The 27,892-nt window shown below is 45.2% G+C and overlaps 1 long non-coding RNA gene across 1 annotated transcript in view; it reads right to left on the bottom strand.

The window, feature by feature from the left end:
* Nucleotides 1-16,659, bottom strand: part of LINC01347 (long intergenic non-protein coding RNA 1347) — a 45,431-nt gene extending 28,772 nt beyond the window's left edge. Inside the window, exons 1-8 of the long non-coding RNA NR_029401.1 lie at nt 16,301-16,659; nt 12,105-12,214; nt 10,906-11,037; nt 7,394-7,610; nt 6,956-7,109; nt 6,446-6,511; nt 4,236-4,294; nt 2,625-3,147 (exon numbers count right to left, since the gene is read on the bottom strand). This is a non-coding gene — a long non-coding RNA (long intergenic non-protein coding RNA 1347). The remainder of the gene's footprint in view (nt 1-2,624; nt 3,148-4,235; nt 4,295-6,445; nt 6,512-6,955; nt 7,110-7,393; nt 7,611-10,905; nt 11,038-12,104; nt 12,215-16,300) is intronic.
* Nucleotides 16,660-27,892: the final 11,233 nt, after the last annotated feature.

Consider the following 27,892-nt stretch of genomic DNA (forward strand, 5'->3'; position numbering starts at 1 on the left):
TTAAGATGAGAGGTAGGGTGGAGAATTAGCTATTTATTCAGTCTTTCCTGTACAAACATAAATTTTTAGGGAGATTGAAGCAGACGAAACAAATCTGGAAAAATGGAGGTAACTGCTTAATCTGCGGGTTGGGTGCATGGAGGTTCAACATATTTCTTTTGTGTATATTTGAACCCCCTACAAAAAAAGCACAAGACAGAATGTGAGCCAAGCAGCTTAGGGTTTAGGCAAGGCTTCTGCCTACAAGAGACACTAGGATATGAGGGGTAGTTTTAGCCCTGATGGGCTGAGCCAACTGGAGGTATATAGGGAGGTGCTAAATTGCTGAGGTATCATGTTGCCCAGCACTTGATCAAATCCTAGATCCTAGGTCTGCTTGGTAGCATGCTTCCTAGGTAGTGCATCTGAGGCTACCTAAAGAACTTCCTTTGCAGTCATAATTCGCTCAGAAACTACAAAAGTGCTTGCTCTTGAAAATGGAGTCTTTGTCCATTTCATGCTTCTATAAAAGAATACCACAGACTGCATAATTTATAAAAAGGAAAAAAGGAAGGAAAGAAAAAAGGAAGGAAGGAGGGAAGGAGGGAAAAAGGGAAGGAGGGAAGGAAAGGAAGGAAGGGAAAGAAGGAAAGGAAGGAAGGGAAAGAGAGAAAGAGGGAAGGAGGAAGGGAGGGAAGGAGGGAGGGAGGGAGAGAGAGAGGGAGGGAGGGGAAGGGAAGAAAAGGGAGAAGGGAAAGGAGGAAGAAAAGGAAAGGAAAGGAATAAATTTTATTTCTTAACAGTTCTGGATGTTAGGAAGTCCAAGGTTGAGGGGCCTGCATCTGGTAAGGGTCTTCTTGCTGCATCATCCCACTACAGAAGGCAGAAGGAAAAGAGAGTGCAAGAAAGCAAGAGGGCAAAGGGGGCTGAACTCTGTTTTATAATAAACCCACTCTGTGATTACTAATCTATTAGCACAATAACAACATTAACTCATTCATGAAGGCTATTTTATTAGGCCCCACATCCCAACTGTTGCATTGAGGATTGAGTTTCCAGCACATAAACTTTGGGGGACACATTTAAACCATAGCAGAGCACTTAGGTTAATTCAACTAAGAGGAGCTGGGAAAATGAAAGGCATGAGAAAGACAGCAAAAGCTAGCAGAGAGAAATGCATAGGTTAAGGAAAAAAGTCACAGTGAATCCTGTAGTGCAGGCTACTTTATCAAAAGCACCTAAAAAAGATCTCATTAACTCCCCCAGCTCACCTCCACCCACATCTAAAGAGCCACACACAGCACCACCAAAGGCAGCACAATGAGAACAGCATTCTCCTCAACAGACAAGCTGGGAGTATCTAGACACCTGACCTCAATAGCTCCAGAACAGCCCTAAAACAGTTCCTCCCTAACCACCACTCAAGTCACCAGCTTGGAAAGTATTAAGAAAACCCAAATCCTGACACACCACTATGAAACAACTTAAAACAGCAAAGAACAACCCATTTAAACAGCAATGCCAGCTGCTGGGAAAAAAAGGAACAATGAGTAGAGGAGAAACAGACCTCTTGGGGTCCACCAAGACCCAGTCTCTCAGCTTCAGCACTTTCAAATGCAGAATCCATACCCCTCTGGGGCCTGTGGAGCTCCACAAGGCATGTCGTCCTCAAAGATAAATGAGCAGGCAAGCTGGCTAGAAAACCACTAAGGGTATTAGTCTTTAAAGAATCTTTACAGGGTCAAAGAGGAATGGGTCTTAACTGGCTATGTGAACTCCCCACAGATTCTGAGGATGATGTCAGTATCCCTTTCCAGATGTGTTTAACACTTTGCAGTCACTTGTATTCCTGCCACTGAGTGCCAGTGCTTTGCTAATTTGAACTGATTCCAGCTCACGCTGACCCCAGCTCCCTGGATGTTACCATTAGCCAAGACTGTCACCCATACTGTACCCTTTCAAAGAGTCCTAAAAACAGCTCTTCACCTACTCTTCCAAGACAAGTAAAAATGTCTGCCAAAGAAATGGGGAAAAAAGATTCAGAGAGTGAAAACAATTAATATACTAACAAGAGAGCAAAAAGCAAAGGGGGAGGAGAAACTAGGAAAATCATAGATGGCCTCTCACCTATTTCCAAAGCTGGGCTAATGTCCTTTTGCTTGTGTCTGAATAAGGCACCAATTTTAAGCTGCTAATGAAAAAAAAAGAAAAAGAGAAAGAAGCAGGCCCAGGCTGGGCGCAGTGGCTCATGTCTGTAATCCCAGCACTTTGGGAGGCCGAGGCGGGTGGATCACCCAAGGTCAGGAGTTCTAGACCAGCCTGGTCAACATGGTGAAACACCATCTCTACTAAAAATACAAAAAATTAGCCAGGCATGGTGGCACATGCCTGTAAATCCAGCTACTCAGGAGGCTGAGGCAGGAGAATTGCTTGAACCTGGAAGGCAGAGAATGTGGTGACCTGAGATCACGCCATTGCCCTCAAGCCACGGCAATGAGAACAAAATTTGGTAAAAACAAAACAAAACAAAACCACACCACCATAAAATAACTCAGACTTAATTAAATACAACCCTAGTGGTGAATGACTAAAGATGGATTACTCATAACAGAGATAACAGTCCAATAAGAATCCAGGAATCTTACCTTTTAATAACAAAAAAATCCTTTCCTTCGAAAGTAACATCCTCTCAAGGCCAGGAATTCCATTAGTAGAAAGCCTTCCTGAAAAACAAAATTCCTGGCCAGGCATGGGTTCACGTCTGTAATCTCAGCACTCTGGGAGGCCGAGGCGGAAAGATCACTTGATGTCAGGAGTCGAGGCGGGAAGATCACTTGACGTCAGGAGTTCGAGACTGGCCCGGCCAACATGGTGAAACCCCATCTCCACTAAAAATACAAAAATTAGCCTCGTGTGGTGGTGGGCACCTGTAATCCCAGTGACTTGGGAGGCTAAGGCAGGAGAATTTCTTGAACCCAGGAGGCAGAGGTTGCAGTGACCAGCAAGGTTGCGCCATTGCCCCCCAGCCTGGGCGATAAGAGTGAAAACTCCATCTCAAAAAAAAAAAAAAAATTCCTTTGGGAAGGCCTTCTACATAAAAATCTTCAACATGAGACTGGAAAAAAGGGTATGGGATCATCACCGGACCTTTGGCTTTTACAGCTCGAGCTATAAGAACAAAAAGAAAAAGGGATATCATTTAAACACAGTATGTAGAAAAGAATAATTATTGAATCTGTACTGGTGTTTAACTTTTACACTTTGATCTTTAATTCTGTTATTGTGATTGAGTCCAAAGAAAAATAGTATGAGTAAAATAAAAAGAACACCAAACATGCTAATATTCTGTTTACCAAAGTCTGTAGTGAAATATCCCATTAAATCCAAGTGCAGTGACACACCCATAATCCCAGCACTTTGGGAGGCTGAGGCGGGTGAATCTCCTGAAGTCAGGACTTCAAGGCCAGCCTGGCCAACATGGTGAAACGCCAACTCTACTATAAATACAAAAATTAGGCAGGCGTGGTGGCAGAGGCCTGTAATCCCAGCTACTTAGGAGGCTGAGGCAGGGAGAATTGCTTGAACCCAGGAGGTGAGCTTGCCATCAGCTAAGATCATACCACTGCACTCCAGCGTGGGTGACAGAACAAAACTTCAACCTCCAAAAAAAAAAAAAAAAAAACAGCTAGCAGGTGACATTTGCTATGGGGAGACTAGGGATATGATCTTGCTGCAATCCTTCCATTTTAGTAAATCTAAACAGCGTGAATCCATTCTGTTTCGTCCCCACTCCACTCCAGAGCCAAAACAAGAAAATCAATTACATTTCTAGTTCTTTAAAAACATATCTAACTAAATCATCTAATTAAAAGATAATATGCATGGTTCCATACTCTAAAAGAAAACTTATGTCCTGCATATCATGGACATTTGATGAATGCTTATTCACTTGACTGGTGTAGACTTCAATAATAACCTGTTCAATGCATTATGCCAGATGAATCTCGCATCTCAAAAGTAGAACAAATATTGTTCTTTCAGTTTTGTCTACCCATAAATGCAATATTTACTAATAAAAAGAAAATGAGTTTATTGTTCTAGAGAGTATGAGAATTTTGACAACATGAATTCTCCTGTCCTAGGACATAATTAATACTTAGAGGCATACTATTTCATGTGGAAGCTACCATTAAATCAATGTTAAGTGTTAATTACCTCACATAATCTTCTAATCTGACTTAAGACTGAAGACATACCTCACAAAGCTGATTTATCAAGTTGTAAATCTTCACCTGTTGAATTCATAAGTTCATGTCTGAAAGGTGAGAATAAATACTTAATATTCACTAGGCAATATTCAGCAAAGTAATATCCACTAGTACATATTTAATATTTCATCATGAACTGCGGGTGTGAAGAGAAAAGACAGGCTGGGCACAGTGGCTCACACCTGTAATCCCAGCAGTTTGGGAGGCCGAGGCAGGCAGATCATGAGGTCAGGAGTTCGAGACCAGCCTGGCCAACATGGTAAAACCCCGTCTGTACTAAAAGTACAATAATTAGCTGGGCATGGTGGCAGGCACCTGTAATCCCAGCTACTCGGGAGGCTGAGGCAAGAGAACTGCCTGAACCCAGGAGGTGGAGGTTGCAGAAACCATGATCGCGCCACTGCATTCCAGCCTGGGCAAGAGAGCAAGATTCTGTCTCAATCAATCAATCAATAAAAATATAAGGAGGAAGCATTTACTGTGTATTTATATGTCTGGTATTATGTGAAGCACTTTACTATCTTATCAAATCTTCGGGACAGATCTTCAGTTCTCACGACCACAAAAGAGGATACTAAAGCTCAGACAGGAGAAGAGACGTGGCCAGCCTGTGTCCCCAGGGCCTATGGTCTTACCACTAGGTTACAGTGTTTCCAGATATCACATGTTGTGAGATTTTTGCTTTAAAATGAACCAAAAAAAACCAAAGGCGAAAAAGGCATAAGCTATTAAAAAGTGGGAGAAACACTAAGAGAACCTTAAGCATGTAACTAAAAATATTATGGAAATGTTATTGAATTCATTAGCAAATTTAATGCTAGGTTTTCATTGAGGAGTAGGTTATATTACTCATGATGAAGAAAAATGTTCATTTTAAGTATATTAACATAAATACCATCAATATTGTTTATCATGTTTAAATGTTCACTTAAAGCAATTCAGTTAAAATTCTGCATATCATACAATTTTATAGTTTGCTAGTAGGTTACAAGTAAATAGTCACCCAAATAAAAACATCATGTGTTTTCCACTGGTTGTTGCTCTTTTTAGGTGAGCATTTGATGTATACCAACAGAGAGAGGATAATAACAAATCACTAATTTCTTTCATCACTATATAAAGGTGGCTTCAGGATAGAATAGTGTAAGGACAATGATGAATTTGAAATCTAACATCAATTCAGTGATGCATCAAGATAAAAGTAGAGACAATAGGGGCACCTTGGTGAGTACTGAACATTTTATTTATTTATTTATTTTGAGATGGAGTTTTGCTCTTTTTGCCCAGGCTAGAGTGCAACGGTGCAACCTCGGCTCACCGCAACCTCTGCCTCCTGGGTTCAAGCGATTCTCCTGCCTTGGCCTCCCGAATAGCTGGGATTACAGACATGCGCCACCACACCCGTCTAATTTTGTATTTTTAGTAGAGATGGGGTTTCTCCATGTTGGTCAGGCTGGTCTCGAACTCCCGACCTAGATATCTGCCTGCCTTGGCCTCCCAAAGTGCTGGGATTACAGGTGTGAGCCACCACGCCCAGATGAATTCCAAATTTAACAAAGCAGACTAAGAGAAACAATTCATTTAAAAAAATAATATTTGGCCAGGCGTGGCGGCTCACACCTGTAATCCCAGCACTTTGGGAGGCTGAGGTGAGTGGATCAGGAGGTCAGCAGTTCAAGACCAGCCTAGCCAAGATCATGAAACCCCGTCTCTACTAAAAATACAAAAATCAGCCAGGCATGGTGGCTGGTGCCTGTATCCTAGCTGCTCAGGAGGCTGAGGCAGAGAACTGCTTGAACCCGGGAGGCGGAGGTTGCAGTGAGCCGAGATCGTGCCACTGCACTCCAGCCTGGGCGACAGAGTGAGGCTCCGTCTCAAAAAAAATAAATAAATAATTCAATGAAATCCCTAAGATCCAGGGCTTTGCAATAAATATGTAAATAAATTTCCAATCTCCATACTGAAAGTTTAAAAGAAATGCTAATAACTAAAGAAATACAACTTTTCCTCAGCTTTGCAGCAATCTAGAAACAAAGTGTGTAGACACTACAAAGCACCTTACAAGGAGAAACGTGTAAGGATGGCATGACTCGCCGGCAGCCCTGGGCTTGTCCACGGTACCCCCATGATGAACAGTAACTCCATTGTGTAAACGCCCATGAACATAAGATTACAGGACTTTTCCAGTTTAGACATACCATATTTTCTTTCAGACAATTCTTCAATTTGTTTACATAGATCAGCGATACGATTATTCCATTTCTCTGAAAATCAAGCAAAAGTTGCTTCTCAATAATACGTCCCTATGTCAGAGCAGCACTAACATATAATGACTTATTTCATATATTTTACATTCTAACGGTCCATATCATTTTACTGCTTTCAAGAAAAAATTTCCCCTTTTTGGTGGTTCTTAGAATTGGTTTAATGGGAGACTATTAGAGAAGCTGAAAAGCAGGAGGGCAGAAAAGTTCAATCAAATTAAACACAATAACAGGGAGGTCACAATGAGGCGGTCTCCCGGGGTCTTTTAGCAAACTTCCTAAAACATGTCTCAGCTGTGTGAAATAAGACTTTACAGCAGCCGGGTGCAGTGGTGCAGGCCTGTAATCCCAGCACTTTGGCAGCAGAGGCAGGCGGATCGCTTTGAGCTCAGGGCAACATAGCCAAAACCCCCCTCCCTAGCCCCACCCCCACCCCGTCCCTACCAAAAATACAAAACAGCAGGGCATGGTGGCGGGCGCCTGCAGTCCCAGCTACTCAGGAGGCTGAGGCAGGAGAATCATCTGAACCCAGGAGGCAGACATTGCAGCGAGCCAAGATCACGCCACTGCTAGCCTGGATGACAGAGCAAGACTCCACCTCAAAAAAACAAAAACAAAAACACAAGATTAAGAGGGACCCCCGACCTTACAGATACAAGTTTAAGAGGGACCCCTAAGCAAAAAATGCCAACCCTTTTTCTCCCAATCATTGTAACACCAGGAGGGTGTAACAGTTTTGCAGCCTAGCTGTAGCAGGCTGATGCCCCCAAGATGCCCATATCCTAATCCCGGGAACTGGTGAACATGACCTTATATGGCAAAAGAGGCTTTGCAGATATAATGAAGTTAAGGGTCTTTGGCTTTTGGGGTTGATGTACTCACTCGGATCCTTGTAAGAGCAGAGCAGGTGATGGGAGAGGGTGGGAGGTGTAGTGACAGAAGCAGGAAACTCCAGTCATTCGAGACGGGCAGCACAAGCTGAGGAGTGCAGGCCACCTCTACCGCCAGGAAACGGATTCTCCCGCAGAGCCTCGGAAGCCACCGACCCTGCTCCCACCTTGACTCAGTAGGACTTACTGTAGAATTCTGGCCTTCAGACCTGTAAGGGAATACATTTTGGTTGTTTTAAGTCACTAAGTGTGTGGTAATTTGTTGCAGCAGCCACAGGAAACTAGTATTGTAGTGAAGCCTCAAAACCCCCCTGAAGGGGCTGGGCTCAGTGGCTCATGCCTGTAATCCCAGCACTTTGGGAGGCCGAGGTGGGTGGATCACTTGAGGTCAGGAGCTCGAGACCAGCCCAGCCAACATGGTGAAATGCCATCTATACAAAAAATACAAAAACTAGCCGGGCATGGTGGCACATGCCTGTAATCTCAGCTACTCAGGAAGCTGAGACAGGAGAATTGTTTGAACCCAGTGGGGCGGAGGTTGCAGTGAACTGAGATTCCACCACTGCACTCCAGCCTGGGTGACAGAGCGACGCTCCATCTCGAAAACAAAACAAAACAAAAAAACCCCACCTGAAGGTTTCCAGTTCTGCCAGCAGTCTCCCACCCAAGCCCCAGAAGCAGACATTCCATTGCTGTGGGCCATGGACAGGCAGAAGGAAGCACCTCCTCATGGCAGAGGCCTACCCAGGAGAAACCCAAGGGAAGGCACTGCTGGGCTGGCCCCTCTCTGCCAAGGCCATATTCTTTTTTTTTTTTGAGGCCAGTTTCACTCTGTCTCCCAGACTGGAGTGCAGGGGCACAATCTCGGCTCACTTCGACCTCTGCCTCCCCAGTTCAAGTGATTCTCCTGCCTCAGTCTCCTGAGTAGCTGGGATTACAGGAGTGTAGCATGCCTAGCTAATTTTTGTATTTCTAGTAGAGATGGGGTTTTGCCATGTTGCCCAGGCTGGACTCGAACTCCTTGCCTCAAGTAGTCCATCTGTCTCAGCCCCGCAAAGTGCTGGGATTACAGGAGTGAGCCACTGCACCCAGCATTTGCCAAGACCTTTGATGGCAGGCTTTTTCCAGGTGATCAGTCCTTGTCTGGTCTGGCTCTGCCCCACTCTCCTTCTCACCTAGTTGGAATCCCTAGCTACTTTTCAGTAGAGGAGAGTGTGTACCCCAATCCCAGCTTGGTTCAGATCTGCATTTAACTCATGGAACCTGGCTGCTCCCCAGGTCCTGAAGAAAAAAAGGGTCTCTCTGTGGGTATGATAAAGGATGGGCCTGTCCCCAGGACCCTGTGAGAGGGAAGCCCAATGTCCCACCAGGTTGGCAGGGCTGGGGAAGGGAAAGTGTTATGGCAGCCCCAAGGAAAAAAAGAGGCAGCAGAGGGAGCAGGACAGCACTCACGTGGAACTCATGCCACTGCCTGAGTGAGGGGAGGGAGGAGTGCACGCCAGTGACGTCAGGGGGCAGAGAGGCACAGTTCCAGGGCGGCTTTCCCCCTCACTTCCTGCCATGTTACTCTGATCGCCTCCAGGTGAGCCTGTCCACTTTGTGCCCAGGGGCCTGTAGAAAACCACAGCTCCCCATGGTTATGGCCCCAGGAGTGGGGCAGAGCAGGGAGGAGTCCTGGACAGAGGAGAGGCAGGGGCAGGAGGGAGTGGGCCTCAAACTCCAGGAGGGGGCCCTTCTCATGGGTCCTGCTTTCTGGCTTCTCCTTCCTTACCCCTGGGCTGATCACTCGGGGAAGAACTGAGACAAAGTTTCTCACCCTCAGGCCCAAAGGGTTTAATTACTGGGCCCTTAGGGAGGTGTGAGCCCCCTGAAAGGATGCAAGGTTTTGTTTTGTTTTGTTTTTTGAGACAGAGTTTCGCTCCTGTCGCCCAGGCTGGAGTGCAGTGGCATGATCTCACCACACTACAACCTGTGCCTCCCAGGTTCAAGTGATTCTCCTGCCTCAGCCTCCGGAGTAGCTGGGATTACAGGTGGCTGCCACCACACCTGGCTAATTTTTTGTATTTTTAGTAGAGACAGGGTTTCGCCATGTTGGGCAGGCTGGTCTTGAACTCCTGACCTCAGGTGATCCGACTGGCTCCGCCTCCCAAAGTTCTGGGATTACATGAGCCACTGTGCTTGGCCACGATGAAAGGTTTTGTGTGGAGAGCATGTACATGCCTTTCTGGGAAAACAGTCCACAGCTCTTATTCTCAGCAGGCTTCACGGTCAAAAATGGTTAGAACTCTTGCTACAGAGCTGTGGAAGCAGCCAGGTGAGGGGCCTGCCAAGGGCACTCTGGGCACTACCTGGGCACTCTCTAGCCCATCATCCCCTAGGCAGGCTGCACTGCTTGGTATTTGCAGAGCTGAGGGGGTGGGGCATGTGGGGACTGTGAAATCGCCCTGAGATGACCCACAGTCCTCAGCTGGGAAGTGAGCAGTGCATCTCCTGCAGCGTCCTCCATCCCTAGAGCCATGGGGCCAGGAGAACTGGCCCTTGCAGCAAGTGAAAAGCCTATTATTGACTCCCTCCCTAGCCATGTAGACAGTGAACCAAGACACTCATATCAGGCAAATGCCTTGTTCTCTGTTACCGAGGTAACCAGTAGGCATTCCCAGATACAGTGAAGGTCCTCACACCAAGATATGCACCTGGCCACCTGAGGAAAGAGAAAGGACTATCTGAGGGGATGGGGCTGAGCTGGGTGTGGAGTGGTCCTTGTGGGTCTTGGAGAGTGGGAGGGGGAGCAGCATGAGCCAGGCCTCGAGGCAGAAGGACAACCAGGAGACAGCCTGGAAAAAGTGCTGGACCCACAAGGGCTCAAGGCTGGCCAGAGGGGAGGTGGGATAGGCTGCAAAGTCCTGAGGTCTGAAGATTGGCCCTGGCAGGAAGAAACCAGGTAAGGTGGGGTGTTACCTACACCCTCGGGGCCAGATGCAGGCCAGAGCCAGCCAATTACCAGGCCCTTAGGGAGGTGTGAGCCCCTTGAAATGACGCAAGGTTTTTTGTTTTTGTTTTGGAGACGGAGTTTCGCTCTTGTCGCACAGGCTGGCACCTTTGCCCAGAGCAGGCACCAAGACTTCTGGCTCTGGGTGTGACCTCAGTCTGAGTAAAAGCCCCAGCCCCCACCAGGACCACCTACCCCCTAGACTACTTCAGGTGCTGAGCCCAAGCCAGGGGCAGGAAGCTAAACTGATGCCTAGGGTAATCCCAGCAAAGTCCCTGGTTCCCCGCAGCTATGGGGCTGATGGGGAATTACAGCCCAAACCCCAGATGCTGGCTATCAAACTAACACTGAGCCCTCAGTGCCCACAGGGAGATACAATCAGCGCACTTTCCAGATGGGGAAATGGGATCAGAGAAGTGCAACAGCCTTGCCCAATGCCCCAGACCAGGGCTCCAGGCCCAGAGTGTTCTTTTGTCACTGTGTTCAGAGGGCAGCAGCTGCTGTGATGTACCCACCTGAGCCTGGCAGCTTTCTCCAACTTTGGAAGCCCAGGAGCGTGGCCCCTGTCCACAGATGCACCTGGCATGAGGCGTGCCCAGAGGGACAGAGGCAGATGAGTTTCGTCTCCTCCACTGGATTGTGAGGGCCTAGAAGGAGACAAGGGTCTGCTTGGGAAGGCAGTGAATAGCGAGCAGCCTGAGGCAGTGCCCCTCTGGATGGATGCACAGTGCCTGGATGGAACCTGGCTCAGACAGAGCTCAGTTCTGCAGGTCCCTGAGGCATGGAGAGTTCACAGCTACCAAGCGTAGGAGTCTGGATTCAAAGCCAACGGCGTGACTCCAAAGTCCCTGCCCTAGCCCCTGGACCACCCTTGCAGGCCCATCAGATGCCCAGGCCAGCAGCACAGCCGGCCAAGACCAGGGAAACTTGGGGAGCCTCAGAGCACCCCCAGGTATTCCAACCTAACCCTGGTGCCCCGCCTCTCACCACCCTTCTTCCTGCTTTAACCTCAACCCCTACACAAAGCCTGGGCCACTTAATGTGGCATCAAACAGACGCCTCAATAAATCAGTCTAATCTCGAAAAAAAAAAAAGACTTAACAGATACACAATTGCACGTTAGAATGCTAAAGACCATAAACATATAACAACTTAAAGTACATATAAATTCAATATATATCCAATCATTGTAACTATGACACAGTAGAATATTAAAATACTATTTTCAAAATGTATACAAGCTTAATGTTCTATGTATTCAAACTATTTATTCAAAATACAAATCATCAACATAAATTGCCACTAATATTCAGTCCCTTCACAGGACACATGATTCACTGGGAGTTAATAAATTAGCAGCCGGCAGGCAGTGACACACAGCAAAAATGAAAACCAAGAGGTGAAATAGTTCTGAAATAAAGGTTTTAAAGCTAACAGAAATCACTGAATTACTAAGTCATTAGCACTCATTTTGAGCCAACTAACTAATTAATATGAGATGATACAACGTCCTATACTTTGGTAAATACAGACTATGTTTAAACAATGTCTGTAACATGACTTGTAAAATGCTCCTGGCTTTACAAAGATGTGATTAAGATGTAGTAACACATGCTAAACCATTTCCCCCTGCAGAGCATGTGGTAACTTTCATCAGTCACATTGAGAGTCCAGAAGATAAAGGAAAAGGTCATGGATTTCGCTGAGAACTTACCAGAGTTGAACTCCCTCATTTTCCGTTCCCCAGCATTGGCGGGTTCTGGGACTGGTGGCTGTGGTGGCTCGTTGGTCTTTGTCTCTTAGAAGGTGGGGAATAATCATCATCTTGAAAAAGAAAAAATGGTCATTACTGAAGGAACCATCTTAGGTTACAGCCACCTCTGGGTCAATTCCCAACATTCAAAAGCTGAGCAGGGCTTTAAAGCTATCTTATTAATAATTATTTCTGTATTGCGAACTTCAGCATACTTTTTCCTAGTTACATTTGAAATGTTATTCTTTTGGGATGTGCTCAAGTGAATACTGCTTTTTCCTCTGCCTTGCTTCATTACTTTTTAGTTTCCTTCATTTGAATCATCATTGTAAGTCTCCTCTTCTCCTCAAATAACTTTCAAATTGCTGCCAAGAACTATGTTCTATCTTAAGGCTTTTGAGAAAAAACTTTCAATGAAGATAGCCGCCTAAAGTTATACAAATATAGAAGAAACGGGATAAAATAAAGCTTAGATTGGAAAAAATAAGATTATACAAAATTCACACGTCAACAAGGGAAGCTGAGTAATTGTATGTTCAAATACTTTTAACAAGTGCAAAACATGTAGGCTTAAAGAACTAGAGCTGGCCAGGCATGGTGGTTCACGCCTGTAATTCCAACAGTTTGGGAGGCCGAGGCAGGCAGATAACTTGAGGTCAGGAATTCGAGACCAGCCTGGCCAACAGAGTGAAACCCTCTCTCTACTAAAAATACAAAAATTAGGCCAGGAGTGATGGCTCATGCCTGTGATCCCAGCACTTTGAGAGGCCGAGGCGGGTAGATCACCTGAGGTCAGGAGTTTGAGACCAGCCTAACCAACATAGAGAAACCCCGTCTCTACTAAAACTACAACATTAGCCGGGTGTGGTGGCACATGCCTGTAATCCCAGCTACTCGGGAGGCTGAGGCAGGAGAATCCCTTGAACCCGAAAGGCAAAGATTGTGGTGAGCCGAGATTGTGCCATTGCACTCCAGCCTGGGCAACAACAGCGAAACTCCGTCTCAAAAAAAAAAAAGAAAAAATTAGCCAGGCGTGGTGGCGCATGCCTGTAATCCCAGCTACTTGGGAGGCTGAGGCAGGAGAATCGCTTGAACCCAGGAGGCTGAAGTTGCCGTGAGCCAAGACTGCACCATTGCACTCCAGCCTGGGTAGCAGAGCAAGACCCTGTCTCAAAAAAAAAAAAAAAAAAAAAGAGAGAGAGAGAGAAAGAAAGAAAGAGGGCTACATTATTTATGAAACAGATACTGTTAACTCAGTCACCAGAAAGCCTGTGTATAAATGAGCAGTGAGATATTCAAGTACAGCACACACACACTTCTCAGGACAGCTGTCGTGAGAGTTCCATGCTCGTTTCCTTCTGGATACATCAGCAACTCACTCTGCTATGATCCTGCAATACGTCTCATGTTAGAATTAGAGACATCTGGGCCAGGCACAGTGGCTGACGCCTGTAATCCTAACACTTTGGGAAGCCGAGGCAGGCAGATCACCTAAGGTCAGGAGTTCGAGACCAGCCTGGCCAACATGGTGAAACGCTGTCTCTACCAAAAATACAAAAAATTAGCTGTGCATGGTGGCACGCGCCTGTAATCCCAGCTACTCGGGAGCCTGAGGCAGGAGAATCGCTTGAACCCGGGAGGTGGAGGTTGCAGTGAGCCGAGATCGTGCCACTGCACTCCAGCATGGGGGACGGAGCAAGGCTCTGTCAAAAAAAAAAAAAAAAAAAAAAAAACACAGAAAAAGAAAAAGAAAAAGAAGAAGAAAAAAGAATTAGAGACATCTGGATCAAATCAGCTGCCAGTCTCGCAAAGTGTCGGGTAACATCCTATTAAGATTGCTGCTTACACATCATCTATAAAATACTGAAAATATCATTTTAAGAAATCTTTTTTTTATTTTGAGACAGAGTTTTGCTCGTTGCCCAGGCTGGAGTGCAATGGTGCGATCTCAGCTCACTGCAACCTCTGCCCCCTGGGTTCAAGCAATTCTCCTTCCTCAGCCTCCTGAGTAGCTGGAATTACAGGCATGCACCACCACGCCTGGCTAATTTTGTATTTTCAGTTGAGACAGGGTTTCTCCATATTGGTCAGGCTGGTCTCGAACTCCTGACCTCAGGTGATCCACTGACCTTGGCCTCCCAAAGTGCTGGGATTACAGGTGTGAGCCACCATGCCTAGCCAAGAAACCCTTATTTTAAAACAAGCCAGGCGCGGTGGCTCATGCCTATAATCCCAGCACTTTGGGGAGCCAAGGCGGGTGGATCACTTGACGTCAGTAGTTTGAGACCAGCCTGGACAACATGTTGTAACCCCATCTCTACTAAAAATATATTTAAAAAATTAGCTGGGCGTGGTGGTGGGCACCTGTAATCCCAGCTTCTCAGGAGGCTGAGGCAGGAGAATCACTTGAACCTGGGAGGTGGAGGTTGCAGTGAGTGGAGATCACGCCACTGCACTCTAGCCTGGGTGACAATAGAAAGACTCCATCTCAAAAACAAAACAAAACAAAACAAAAAACCACTAAAAGAAAGACTCCATTTCAAAAACAAAACTAAAACCAAAAACACAACACAAATGTAGTATACAAATGAAAATAATTACTGTGTTAAACACAGTTTCATAGAAAATAAAAGACCAATCAAATACAATAAGCTGCCTTTTTAGATGGGTGTTATTCTTCTTTCACAGCTAAAGAAACGGGCTCAGAGAATGTTATTTGATTGGACCGTGTTGCATCTCTGGACAGTGCAGCTGAGATCAGACTTTGTGTGTAACTCCACTAGCCTACCAGGGTGCCTCTCATAAAGGTAAGAAATGTAAATTTGGGCTAATATACAAAGTTGCCAGGGCAGCACTGGGTCAATTCTACATACAGTACTTCTATGTTCATCAAGGGAAACCTTAAGGGAAAGTGAAAATGCTTCTAGAAGGCGACTGGACACCAGCGCCTTTGCTTGTTGCCTTTGGGCTCTTCTTCTAAGGCCAACAGTGACCTGAGATTATTGACTGGCTTTTCCAATCAAGTGGACAAAATGGTACCAAGGTCGCCAACATCAAACAAATTCACTTGAGGGCCTTATCTATGTCCTTTGAAAGACAAAACTGCTTTTGTAAAGGACACTGTATTTCAGAAAAACATAATCATATTAACAAATAATAACACTGTAAAATGCTGATGTATTGAATGCTACTTTAGAAAAACATGCTCAAATCTAGGGAAAAAATTTGATACAAAACTCCGTATCAATTATCTAGCTAGCTAGCTAGCTAGCTAGCTAGAGACATGCTTTCATTCTATTGCTCAGGATGGGAAGCAGTGGGATTATCATAGCTCACTGCAGCCTTGAGCTCCTGGCCTCAAGTGATCCTCCTGCCTCAGCCTCCTAACTAGCTAGGGCCACAGGTGGACACAGTTATGCCTGGGTTTTTGTTTGTTTGTTTTGTAGAGACAGGGTGTCACTACATTGCCCAGGCTGGTGTCAAACTTTGGAGTCTCGCTGTGTCGCCCAGGCTGGGGTGCAGTGGTGCGATCTCGGCCCAATGCAACCTCCGCCTCCCGGGTTCAAGTAATTCTCCTTTATCAGCCTCCTAAGTAGCTGGGACTACAGGCATGCGCCACCACGGCCGGCTAATTTTTGTATTTTTTGTAGAGACTGGGTTTCACCATGGCCAGGCTGGTCTCCAACTCCTGACCTCAGGTGATCCACCCGCCTCGGCCTCCCAAAGTGTTGGGATTACAGGTGTCAGCCACTGAGCCTGGCGGAGCACTTTCTTATGTTATTAAGTAGCCTAACCCAGGTGGGGCGCTGTCCCTCACACCTGTAATCCCGACAACTCTGATGGCCAAGGTGAGAAGATCGCCTCAACTCAGGAGTTCGAAACTGGCCCGGGCAACATAGCGAGCCCCCACCCCACCCCATCTCTAGAAAAAAAATACAAAAATTAGGCCAGGTGCACACCGCGCCCGGCTAATTTTTGTATCTTCTGTAGAGACGGGGTTTCGTCATGTTGCCCAGGCTGGTCTCGAACTCCTGAGCCCAAGCCATCCATCCTCCCGCCTCGGCCTCCCAAAGTGCTGGGATTACAGTAGGGCCCAGCCAGCCTCATGTTTTATTGCACACCTGGATAGTTTTTTAATTTTTTTACACAGGGTTTACCTCAATCTCGCAGGCTGGAATGCTGTGGTGGGATCATAGCTCACTGGAGCCTTGAATCTTTGGGTTCAAGTAGCTGGGGGGCTGAGGTAGGACTACAGAGATGGGGTTGCGCCATGTTGCTAGGCTGCTCTTGGCCTGAAGGGTCCTCCCGCCTCGGCCGCGCCATAGTTTTCTATTTTTGACCAACATAAACACTGTGCTGGGTCTGAATTTTTCAGCTACCCTTCTTCAGCCGGCAACACACAGGACCTGGCGGGGAGGTCGCTCTCACCAGTCCCCACTCTGACGAGAAGACCGCCCAGCTCCAGGCACCGTAGCGCCCCAGTGACGTAGGCGAACACCCGCGCCTCTGACGTCGCCAAAGGCCCACCGCTATGGTGTCGGCGAAGGCGCGCCCTTGTGACGTCACGGAAGGCGCGCCCTTGTGACGTCACGGAAGGCGCGCCCTTGTGACGTCACGGAAGGCGCCCCTTGTGACGTCACGGAAGGCGCGCCCTTGTGACGTCACGGAAGCGCAAGAACCGCTTGAACCCGGGAGGCAGAGGTTGCAGTGAGCTGTGATCGCATCACTGCACTCCAGCCTGGGCCACACAGCAAGACTCTGTGTAAAAAAAATTATTTTAGGCCATCGAACTGTATACCTGAAATTAGCAAATTTTATTATATGTAAATTGTATCTCAATAAAGCTATTTTAAAATTATAAAACTTGGCTGGGCACGGTGGCTCACACCTGTAATCCCAGCACTTTGGGAGGAGAGGCAGGTCGATCACCTGAGGTCAGGAGTTTGAGACCAGCCTGGCCAACATGGTGAAACCCCTTCTCTACTAAAAAATACAAAAATTAGCTAGGCATGGTGGCGCTAGCCTGTAATCCCAGCTACTTGGGAGGCTGAGGCAGGAGAATGGCTTGAACCTGGGAGGCGGAGGTTGCAGAGAGCCGAGATGGCGCCACTGCACTCCAGCCTGGGCAACAGAGCGACACTCTGCCTCAAAAAAAAAAAAAAATTATAAAACTTAAAAAATAATGTTAATGATAACAGAAGTTTGAGAATCAGAGATAAATTGTGTAATGATTTTTAAAAAGGGGGCCCAATTTTTTTACGGTTCAGTTTCTAGAACAGGAGTTATTCACCTGTAAGTCATTTGACGAATAGAGAGATAATTTTTTAGCACTCTTTCCAATTACTAGCATGTGTTTTCTTTGTCCCAAATCATGTTTAACACATCATTTATACTAAAAATACTAATTAAAACAATTATGGCATACTTCTAATAATGTTAAAAGTGAGTAATAATACTTAACCTAAAAGGGTACATTTATAATACTACAGTTTCAAGTTTCAGAAAGCAGAGAGGGAAGGATATTTCAAGACTGGAATATTCCTGCCATTCCTTAAATCACATTCCTCAGCATCTATTCATTTAACAAATATTTATTAAAGACCTGCTACACTCCAAACTCTTTCTATATGCTTCTGATCCATCAATGAGCAGAAAACACAGATATGCATCAATTAGGTTAGTTTGCAGAATCTCAGTGGCTTCTAGCACAATAGTTCATTTCTGACCCATGAGACCTGACAATTACTGGTTAACTACAGCTCTGTGACAGATTGTCATCTTTCTAGGACCCAGCCTGATGGAGTAGCCATTATCTGCAACTCTGAATAAACACATTGTAGTTCAGTCACATTTTGGAATACTATTCAGCAATGAAAAGGAACAAGGTGTCATAAACTCAAAAATGGGTGAACTCAAAAATACTACTGCTAAGTGAAAGAAGTCAGATGCAAAAGGCATTATGGCAGGATAAAGAACATGGTAAACCACACGCTGGCTCCTGTAACTTCTGCCTACAAGTAACAATGCTTTTGCTTCTATGTCAGCAATCAGACCCAGTCACGTAGCCATGTCCAAGGCCAATGGGGTGGGGAAAGGATAATCCTCCTGAGAGGGTCAGAGTATGTATTTGAATAATAGCGCAGTTTACCGGTTACCTGTATATAGTAACATAGAAGGAAATAAGGGTTGTAGAAAAAAAGAATCGGGCGTGCAGGGTTGGAATGCAATGATACGGAGCAGGATGTGGTGTTAGACAGTTCTCAGTTCTTCAAACCCCGAGAAGACTTGAAGGAGGTGAGGGAGTTGGCTAAGCAAAATATGAGGAAAGAGCATTTGAAGAAGATGGAACATCTAGAGCAAAGACCTTGGAGTAAGCGTGCCTGAGATGCCGGAGGAGTGGTAAGGAAGCCGGGGTGGCTGGAGTAGATTAGAAGCACGTAGTAGCTACTCCTCCTACTGGAGGTCATCACAGCAATGGGGTGGGACAAACAAAGAGGACTTTGTCATCGTTGTAAGAACTTTAGTTTTTACACTGAGTGAAATGAGCTAGTACAGGGTTCTGAGCAGAGACTTATTATCTAAGTCACCTGTTGAAAGATCACTCTGGGACGGGCGCAGTGGCTCACGCCTGTAAGCAATCCCAGCACTTCAGGAGGCCGAGGCAGGCAGATCACAAGGTCAAGAGATAGAGACCATCCTGGCCAACATGGTGAAAACCCATCTGTACTAAAACTACAGAAATTAGCTGAGTGCGGTGGCGTGCACCTGTAGTCCCAGCTACTCAGGAGACTGAGGCAGGAGAATCGCTTGAACCTGGGGGGTGGAGGTTGCAGTGAGCCAAGTTTGTGCCACTGCACTCCAGCCTGGCGACAGGTGAGACTCCATCTCAAAAACAAAACAAAACAAAACAAAACAAAAACACCTTGGGCTGTGTACGGTGGCTCACACCTGTAATCCCAACACTTTGGGAGGCCAAGGTGGGCAGATGCCTTGAGTCCAGGAGTTTGAGACCAGCCTAGCAACATGGCAAAACCCTACCTCTACAAAAACTACAAAATAAATAGCTGGGCATGCTGGTGCCTGCCTGTGGTTCCAGCTACTCCAGAGGCTGAGGTGGGAGGATCGTTTGAGACCGGGGAGGTGGAAGTTGCAGTGAGTAGAGATGGTGCCACTGCACTCCAGCCTGGGTGACAGAGGAAGACCCTGTCTAAAAAAAAAAGATAACTCTGGCTATTATATTGGGGACAAAGGGAAGAAGCAGGGAGACCAATTAGGAGGCCATTGCAAGAATCCATGCAAATGTCAACGGTGATTCAGACCAGGGTGACAGCTGTGAGGGTGGTGAGAAGTGGCCAAATTCTGGATATTTTTAAAGGTCAAGTTCATGGCATTTCATGACAAATCGAATGTGGGTGTGAGAGAAAAATAGAGACAACGATGACTGTAAGGATTTTGTTTGTTTGTTTATTTGCTTACTTGGGTAACTGAAAAAACAAAGTTGGCTTAAGGACCTGAAGACGTTTTTCAAAGAAGACACCAAAATGTCCCACAAGTACATGAAAAGATGCGGAACATCATGAACCATCAAGGAAATGCAAATCAATACCACAATGAGACAGCACCTTATACATGTCAGGATGGCTACTATAGAAGACAAGCCATGACAAGGGTTGGTAAGGATGTGGAGAAAAGTGAACACTTCTAAGCTGTTAGTGGAAACATAAACTAGTACCCCATTATGGAAAACAATATGGAGCTGCTTCCTCCAAAAATTACAAATAGAACTACCATGAGATCCACCAATCCCACTTCTGATATATATCCACAGGAAACAACATCAGTATCTCAAAGAAATATCTGCACTCCCGTGTCCATGGCAGCACTATTCACAATAGCCAAGGTGTAGAATCAACCTGTCTGTCAACAGATGAATACAGAAAATGGAGTATATATACACAACAGAATAATATTCAGCCTTAAAAGAAGAAAATCCTATCATTTGACACAACATAGGTGAGCCCAGAGCACAGTATGTTCAGTGAAATAAAGAGTCAGAGAAAGAAATACTGGGTGACCTCACTCATTTGGAATCTAAAAAAGTCAAACTTAGAAGCAGAGATGAGAGGTGTGGTTGCCAGGGGCTGGGGAGTGAGAGAAATGGAGAGAGGTTGGTCAAATGGTACAAACTTTCAGATAGAAGATAAGTTCTGGAAATCTACTGTACAGCATGGTGTCTATGGTTACTGATTATTATATACTTGAGATTTGCTAAGAGAGAGCAGATCTTAAATGTTCTCACCACACACAGACACACACAGAAGGTAATTGTACACCAAAAAGTGTCTGAGACAGGCCTTGATCAATTTAGAGGTTCATGTTGCCAAGGTTGAGGATGCACTGGGAAAAAGAAACACAAGTTCCCATACAATCTGTGGCCCATGTATTTTCCAAAGAGGGTTTTGAAGACTTCAATATTTAAAGGGGAAAGAGCAGCAGGAGGGGAAAAAGGAAAGAAAAGAGTGGGTAGGTAGCCAGATAAGTGGTTATATTCTTGTGAAACTTTCATTAGTGCTTACTGAATTCACATGTTACATGTGAGAGGAGGGTATAGAGGAACAGTCAATTACACATTCTTGTCACGCTCAGTAAATCTGCATTTTACATAAGATAAAAATAGAGTAGAGAAAGAAGTCAAATATGCATTTGTTTTGGGGTGGGCAGAGGGATGATTTCTAGTCTTGTCTTTGTTCCACACCCGTGAAGATAAGCTGTTAGTTATCTTACATTGTCAGGGTGATCTGGTTTGGCTGTGTCCCCATCCTAATCTCATCTTGAATTCCCACACGTTGTGGGAGGGACCTGGTGGAAGGTGATTGAATCATGGGGGCAAGACTTTCCCATGCTATTCTCTTGACAGTGAATAAGTCTCACGAGATCTGATGGTTTTAAAAAGAGGATTTCCCCTGCACAAATTTTCTCTTTGCCTGCTGCCATCCATGTAAGATGTGACTTGTTCCTCCTTGCCTTCGCCATGATTGTGAGGCTTCCCCAGCCACGTGGAACTGTAAGTCCAATTAAACCACTTTCTTTTGTAAATTGCCCAGTCTCGGGTGTGTCTTTATCAGCAGCATGAAAATGAACTAATACACAGGGTGAGGGAAGCCACCTGGAGAGGTATGTGGCCTTCTATCCTGCAGCTGTGAGTCTAGGAACAAAAGGAAAGCAGGTTTTGTTTTTTGTTGTCATTGTTGTTTTTTGCATGACTCAGCTCCCAAACTTAACTTTTCCCTTTGCCATAGGGGGTTTGAGGTCCCAGAGATTTTATTTTCCTTTCACATAACCACAGAAGGCAAGGGACATCTTAACTCACTTGATTATGGTAATCATTTCACAATATATAAACATATCAAATCATCATTGTACCCCTAAAATTTATATAATTGTATTTGTCAGTTATAGCTCAATAAAGCTGGGGGAGAATAGATTTATCAAAAACACATAAAAAAAAAAAAGAATGGCATTGCTGTAACTGAGGTGGGGAAGGCTGCAGGTAGAGTGGGCTTGGTGTAAGATGGGAGATCAGGGGTTGAATTTAGAACATGGTAAGCCTGAAACATCTGTGGGATACACAGGCAGATTCCCAGTGCACCCTGGATGAAGTCGGTCTCAACTCAGGTTCTCCCGTGTCACAGAATGTCCCCTGGAGCCACAGTCAACAGATCCAGGTGGTAACGCCGGCCTTACCACAAAGAAGCTCTGACTGTGGGGAGGTCACTAGTACACTCCATCTCTCCTCATCTGTGTGGTGGGTCAGTAAAACATGCCAACAGAGTTATTCTGAGCATTCTGTGACATAAGTATATGGCAGCGCTTTGCCAGTTAAAACATAGGATAGAAAATGGCCTGGCTGCTGCTGCTGCGGTTCACGGTAATGGTCTCATCCTCTTAGTCAGCCGGCTGCTTTGGGATGAAACACAACAAAAAGCCGATCAGATTTTCCTAGAGTCTCATGATCCCAGGTATCCAGAAACACAATTTGGAAACACTGAAGTTATTTTTCTTCCTTCGATGTGCTAGTTTTTCATTCTAGCCTACTCCACTCTGGGCAAATCCCTGTAGAATTCCTTGAGCAACATGAGCTCTTTCGCTGACTCAGATAAAATTGGACAGTATGTAATGTCCTGTGACCCTTGCCTGGAAGCGATCCCAGCTGGCTGCCAGGGTTGAGTCCGAGACCCTTACGACCAGGCTGACCCTGAGGCCTGGAGACTGCCGAGATCCCTGTTCAATGTCTGGAGAGCAGCGGGCGCAGCTGGTAGCCGGACCCTGCGTGGTTTGGAGCAGCGGGACACTCACTTTGAGACAGACAAACCTAGAAGTGAGCAACCACTTTCCACTTCACTATGTGGCGCATGATGGGTGTTCAGCAACAAATATCAGCCTCCTGTCTTCCCCTGGCACCGCCCCTGGCTTCGGTGAGTGGTCTGTTTCTGCCAACCGTCTCTGATTTTGGAGTCACGGGAATAGAGTACGGAGCCGCACGTGATTCCCTTCCAGATGTCAGTCCCAACACACCCCAAACGCCTTTTCATTTCTCTCACAAAACATTATGACTCTGTCATGCGTGGATTGCCTGGGTTCTTTTTTCAAGCAATTCAGCAGGATGACATAGAGCCTCTTGGTGAGGGGATGCCCATACATTTCCTATTGAAGCACAAAATAATTCTGCCCACTGTTTTATTTAAAAACCACCTAACTCAAGGCTCCAGGGATTTCCTTTCCTCCTGGTAGCCTGGGGTTTGGTGAACTCATCAGGCTCCCCGCACTTTGGGGTGTATTCTTCCTCGGTTTCCCCAGATGTGCAGCCAACAGTTGTAACTAGACAGGTGCAGACATGGCGTGTATATTGATATTGACATTTCTAGCAGGTTATCGCAGGTGTTTGTAAGACAGCCTTAGTTATAAGCTTCTCATTATGATCTTAGAGTCTAAGATAAAAAATATTTTCACGTATTTTTTTGCTTTCTCCAAATCCAGTGAGGGTGAATCATGGCTACTTAGAGAATCCAAAGTTGAAAATCGAGATAAATAATGCAGTTTTGGCCAGGCATGGTGGCTCACGCCTGTAATCTCAGCGCTTTGGGAGGCCGAGGAGGGTGGATCACCTGAGGTCAGGAGTTTGAGGCTAGCATGGGCAACATGGTGAGACCCAGTTTCTACCAAAACTATGAACAATTAGCTGGGTGTGGTGGTGCACGCCTGTAATCTCAGCTACTTGGGAGGCTGAGGTGAGAGAATCACCTAAGTGAGCCCAGGGAAGTCAAGACTGCAGTGAGCCATGTTCACACCACGGCACTCCTGTCTGGGTGATGGGAGTGAGACCCTGTCTCAAAAAAAAAAAAAAATGCAGTTTAGGCAACATTTTGTCCTAATGAAGCCCTTGCATCATCATTATCCTTATAACACACACTTTTTTTTTTTTTTTTTGAGACGGAGTCTCACTCTGTCACCTAGGCTGGAGTGCAGTGGCGCAATCTCAGCTCACTGCAAGCTGCGCCTCCCGGGTTCACGCCATTCTCCTGCCTCAGCCTCCCGAGTAGCTGGGACTACAGGCGCCCGCCACCACACCCAGCTAATTTTTTGTATTTTTAGTAGAGACGGGGTTTCACCATTCACAAGATGGTCTCAATCTCCTGACCTCGTGATCCGCCCACATCGGCCTCCCAAAGTGCTGGGATTACAGGCGTGAGCCACCACGCCCGGCCAACACACACTTATAACATAAAATGTAAAAGGGGAAAAATGCCTTCTTTTTGCCTATTTTATTAAGGATGTAATAACCCTAATGGCCTTTCATGAAGAGCATTTTCTCCAAATGCATTGCACTGGGACACTCCCGAGGGACTCTGGAATGGATTTACTGCTTTCTCCGAAAACCAGGACATGGCCTATTTCATATAATATTGTTTGATTCAAACACATAATAATAAAAAATAATAATTTTCAGTGCTAAAAGTCAGCAACCCTGATGTGCGGTTTTGCCCCCTGAGTGACAGGAACAACACACGGATTTGTCTTCTCTTGTGTGACTGAAGAAGGGCAGAGCAGTAGGTTTTCGTTTCACACAACCCAGGAGATTGCCATTTTCTCAGGATCACCTGATGGCACAAAACTTAGGCCCTGGCTCATACCCTTCGTCCATCTCTTACTCTAGCTATTGCTAGAGCAAGCAGCTTCGAGCAGATGAAACCTCCCAGCACCTCCCCTCTGCTGCAGCATATCTCTTGCATTTTGACACCACAGCATGGAACACCTGCCACAATCGGCCCAGCACTCACACAAGCATCATCCCAACGCACAAGAGAATTCATGCCCCAAGAACACCCCTTGGAGAATCGGAGCTGGAAATTGATGAATAAAGGTTCCCTCCCTCTTTCAGGCGCACAGGCCGTCCATTCTGAAGTCACTCCGTGGCTCATTAGGAGCCCCTGCGCAGTCATGCCTCAGCTGCCTCCAGGAGTGAACAAGCTGAGATTGCACTCCCATTTGCCTTCCTTCCTTCCCTGTGTCACTCTTCCCAATCCCTCTATCTTGTTTTCTGGGAACACTTTCCCAAATTAGAAAATTCTGGAGGCCAATTAAGGCAATAAGCCAGGGAAATATGTTATGTAACCGTGTGATGAACTCACAAGAGATACTTGGGGACTTGGAGAAGTCCATTCCCTGTATCTAGGCGAGACCACAGCTAAGTCATTGACCAAAGGAACTTTGTATTAAAACAAACAAACAAACAAACAAAAAACTTAGAAAAATGGAATTCCAAAATCACCATTAGTAATTCTATTAGGTATTCAGATATTCATTGACTATAAATGTTCCTGAATGCAAAGCAGGAGATACAGAGGTCTGAATGTTGGATGTAAGAACTCGTGTATGTAATTGCATGAGCCAAAGAACAAGCTTAATGGATCTGGGTTCTGTGATTTTGCTCTTTTCGGAAGTGCTAGCTCAGTTTCAGAAAAGAAGTTCAGCGTCATTTTTTTCTTTTTACATTTATCTCCACCAAGTTTATGAGAAGTTGATCCAATGATTTACTCTCCTTGATCAGAAATACCAGAAATTCACTCTCAATTTCAGTCCTTTAACTGATTGGCATTCTTTAAACATAATGAACGGGAAAAGGAAATATATCTTAAAACAGTTTTTAAAAATGTGAAACAATTCAGGCATACAAAAGACACAGAAAATGATAAATTGTGTGGTATACCACCAAGATAAAACAGCTGTTAATATTTTATCTTATTTGCTTCAAACCCATCTTTTCAGTAAACATGCTATTTACTTAATAAACAAAATATTACAGTCCAGCTACTGCCTCACCCAGTGTGCATCATCCTCTCTTTCCCTCCATCCCTGGATATAACTCTATTCAAAATTCGTGTGTATGGGCTGGGCACAGTGGCTCACATCTGTAATCCCAGCACTTTAGGAGGTCAAGGCAGGTGGATCACTTGAGGTCAGGAGATCGAGACCAGCATGGCCAACATGGTGAAACTCCATCTCTACTAAAAATAAAAAATTAGCTGGGCATGGTGGCGAGTGCGTCTAATCCCAGCTACTCGAGATGCTAAGGCAGGAGAATCGTTTGAACATGGGAGGCAGAGGTTGCAGTGAGCCGAGATTGTGCCACTGCACTCCAGCCTGGGCAACAGGGCGAGACTCCATCTCAAAAAAAAAAAAAAATTAGTGTATATCATCCCCACATCTGCTTTCTTACTTCTTCTACATAAATATACATCCATAAACAATATAAATTAGTCCTCTGCATTCTAGTTTTTGTTGCTGTTAAGAAGTCTAGTTGAAGTTCTTGGTAAATAACCTTTCAATCACCTGACTTAATACTGTAAACAGAGAAGCAGATTTTTATTAATGTCTCATCAAAAGTAAGTTTTTCACCAGGAATATGCTTGTGAATGCAACATAAACATTTATAAATGTACCATTCATCAGTTTTCTTTCCTGATGGGAATAGTGAAAGAAAATAGAATTCATCAGAACTCCTGTGCCTCTTTGGCACAAACTTATAGCAATACGATAAATAGCAAGTACACCTATGTGTGAAGTCTTACCATAAAAAACAAACTTGATCAACTGCGCCGGAGGAAAGACTGAGTATCTTTCTCTTCTCTCCATGGAAAATGATATTACAAAATTGTCGTCACATGTTGGGGCCAGCAAAGAGAATATAGCCAGATGATACAGGAAATGACATTTCTCAAAAGAAGACATACAAATGGCCAATAGGTATATGAAAAAAAAAAAGTTCAACATCACTAATCAAAGAAATGCAAAGTAAAACCACAATAATATATCACCACATACCTGTTAGAATGGCTATTATCAAAAAGACGAAAGATAGCAAGTGTTGGAGAGGATGTGGAGATGATTTATATTTATAAGTTTGTATAGTTATTTATATTTCAATACTATTGCTGGAAATATAAATGACTACAGCCCTTATGCAAAACAGTATGGGGATACTTTGAAAAATTCAAAATAGAACTGCCATGCTACAGTAATCCCACTACTGGGTATCTATCCAAAGGAAGTGAAATCAGTACGTTGAAGAGACATCTGCACTCCCATGTTCATTGCAGCACTATTCACAATAGCCAAGATATGGAAGCATCCTAAGTGTCCAGCAGCAGATGAGTGGATAAAGACAATGTGGGATGTACGGCATATATACACAGTGGAATGCTATTCATCCTTAAAAAAAGGAAATTCCGTCATTTGTGACAACATGGATGAACCTGGAGGATATTATGCTAAGTCAGATAAGCCAAGCACAAAAAGACAAATACTGCATGATCTCATTTATGTGTTGTAACCAAACCCAGGTTCAGGTACTCACCAAAAGTCAAACATGAGATACAAGAGTTGGTGGGACAGGCCGGGTGTGGTGGCTCACGCCTGTAATCCCAGCACTTTGGGAGGCTGAGGCAGGTGGATCACTTGAGGTCAGGAGTTCGAGACCAGCCTGACCAACATGATGAAACCCCGTCTCTACTAAAAATACAAAATTAGTCAGGCGTGGTTGCACGTGCCTGTAATCCCAGATGCTTGGGGGGCTGAGGCAGAAGAATTGCTTGAACCTGGGAGGTGGAGGTTGCAGCAAGCCAAGAGATCAGATCTTGCCATTGCACTCCAGCCTGGGCAACAACAAGAGCTAAACTCCATCTCGAAAAAAAAAAGTGTTGGTGGGACAAAAGCCAGGTTTGTTCAGAGAGCCAGTAAACCAAGAAGATAATAGCATCCTAAAGTGCCACCTTAAGTCAGGATAAATTTCAGTCTCTTTTTATGTTAAGAGCAGAAGGAAGAGGAGGGGCATGGGATCAATAGGTGACTGTTGACCACAGACATCTGGGTGCCAGTAAGGGCCCTAGAAGGTGGGGAAAGTCTTAGCTTTTGGTCAGGTCACAATGCTCCTATAAATCTTTTTATTTTTTATTTTTTATTGTTAATAGGATCTTGGTCTGTCACTCAGGTTGGAATGCAGGGGCATGATCATGGCTCACTGCAGCCTCAAGTTCCTGGGCTCAAGCATCCTCCTGCCTCAGTCCCAGTGGCCGGGACTATAGGTACACGCCACCATGTGTGGCTAATTTTTCCATTTTTTTGTAAATATGGGGTCTCACTATGTTGCCCAGACTGGTCTTGAACTCCTGGACTCAAGTGATCCTCCCACC

This window comes from Homo sapiens, chromosome 1, assembly GCF_000001405.40.
Source record: "Homo sapiens chromosome 1, GRCh38.p14 Primary Assembly".
Classification (NCBI taxonomy): domain Eukaryota; kingdom Metazoa; phylum Chordata; class Mammalia; order Primates; family Hominidae; genus Homo; species Homo sapiens.